Here is a 1809-nt window from a genome sequence, read left to right on the forward strand (position 1 = left end):
CCTATACACATTCCCATAGTTATTCTCATGTCTCACCCAGCTTCTCAAGGTGCTCACTCTGACATAGCTCTTTCACAGAAAATGCAGTGGGCCACAAGATTCTGGGGGAGCTCAGTGAGAAGTGTTTAATAATGAACCAGGATCAGATGTGCCTCACCCCTAGCCCCAGTTAGCATGTATTGAGTGAGGCATCATCTCACCTTAAGAAAAGTTGCTTAGCAGGTAAGGGAAAACTGTGTATAGATGATTCTCCTTTTATACAAAGCTCAAAAGGTAAGGCCTTGAGAGAAGATGGATTTCTAACGGGGAAGCTCTGAGGCAAAATCTGTTACGATGTGTTGTAATGCTCACATTCAAGTTGGAAGGTCATATTTAAACCTAACTATGCAGATATATATCTAATGTGCTGGGGATGGGAAGACACAGAAGAGCTTTGCAGAGTTTCCACTCTCAACAATTGTACAAACAGCTTAGTGTGATAAGACCTGCAACATTAGGCAACTGGAGAACACAGTATGAGGCAGTGAAAGTTATGGGCGGTGAGGGCTGCGTGTCTTATAGCCCCAGGAAGGGCTTCTTGGATATGGTAACACTTCAGATTTGCCTGGAAGAATGGGCAGAGTCTGGATGGATGAAGAGAAACAGGGATAGCAAGTTGAGAGGCCAACATTAACAAACAGGATGGCAGAGAGGGAATGCTACTTTGATGGGGATCATCTCCCAGTTCTTCTTCAGTTATATAATAATGAGAAATTGGATTTGCAGTTCTCAAACTTTATGGATCCAGGATCCCTTTCACTCTTAAAAATTACTGAACACATCAAATATTTTTGTGTGTATGTGGGTAATTTGTATTGGTATTTACTGGATTTGTAGTTAAAATAAGTAACATAGTTTTAGGAAAAATAACTCTATTTTCAAAAACAAAAAAGTTTTTAGCAAGAAGGCTGGTATTGTTTTTGAAAATCTTAATAGAAGACAGCTGGCTTGTTTTATTCGCTTCTGCATTTAATCTGTTGCAATATGTTGTTTTGGTTGTAAGAGCTGAATGAAATCTGGCCTCACAAAGATATGTGGTTAGAAAGGGGAGAGGTGGTTTAACAGTACTTTCCAAATTGTCGTGAATATTCTTTGATACTATCCTAGAATTTGCATGAAGCGATTTCTTAAACATTGGTTACAATGTGGAATCTGAAACTTTATCATTAAATCTTCATACTCTGCTGTGTTGTAATCCCCTGGCCCATCACGCAGTGTGGATAGATCTTTACCTGTGTGTGATTTTGTAACACCATGCATTGGCCATTTGGAAAATATTTGTTCACTGAGTTGTGCAGATCTTCCTAACCCTGACACATTTCATTAAACAGCAGCAAAAGATCACATTTAGGCTGGGTGGTGTCTTACCCCTATAATCCCAGCACTTTGGGAGGCCAAGGAGGGAGGATCACTTGAGCCCAGGAGTTTGAGACTAGCCCGAGCAACAAGCAAGACCCCATCTTTGCAAAATTAAAATTAAAAAATTAATTGGGTGTGGTGGTGCATGCCTGCAGTCCCAGCAACTCAGAAGGCTGAGGTGGGAAGATCTCCTGAGCCGAGGTGGTCAGTCATGCTGCAGTGAGCCATGAATGCACTGCTGCACTCCAGTCTGGGCCACAGAGTGAGACCCTGTCTCGAAAAAAAAGTCACATTTGTTAATATCATCCCCCTTCATATTAGAAAAGTCTCTAAGTATTCAGAAGCTATCATGCTCATGGTGGCAGATACAAGCTTTCCAACATTCTCATTTTCATTTGAAATCTACAAAGA

This window comes from Homo sapiens, chromosome 10 (genome assembly GCF_000001405.40).
Source record: "Homo sapiens chromosome 10, GRCh38.p14 Primary Assembly".
Lineage (NCBI taxonomy): Eukaryota > Metazoa > Chordata > Mammalia > Primates > Hominidae > Homo > Homo sapiens.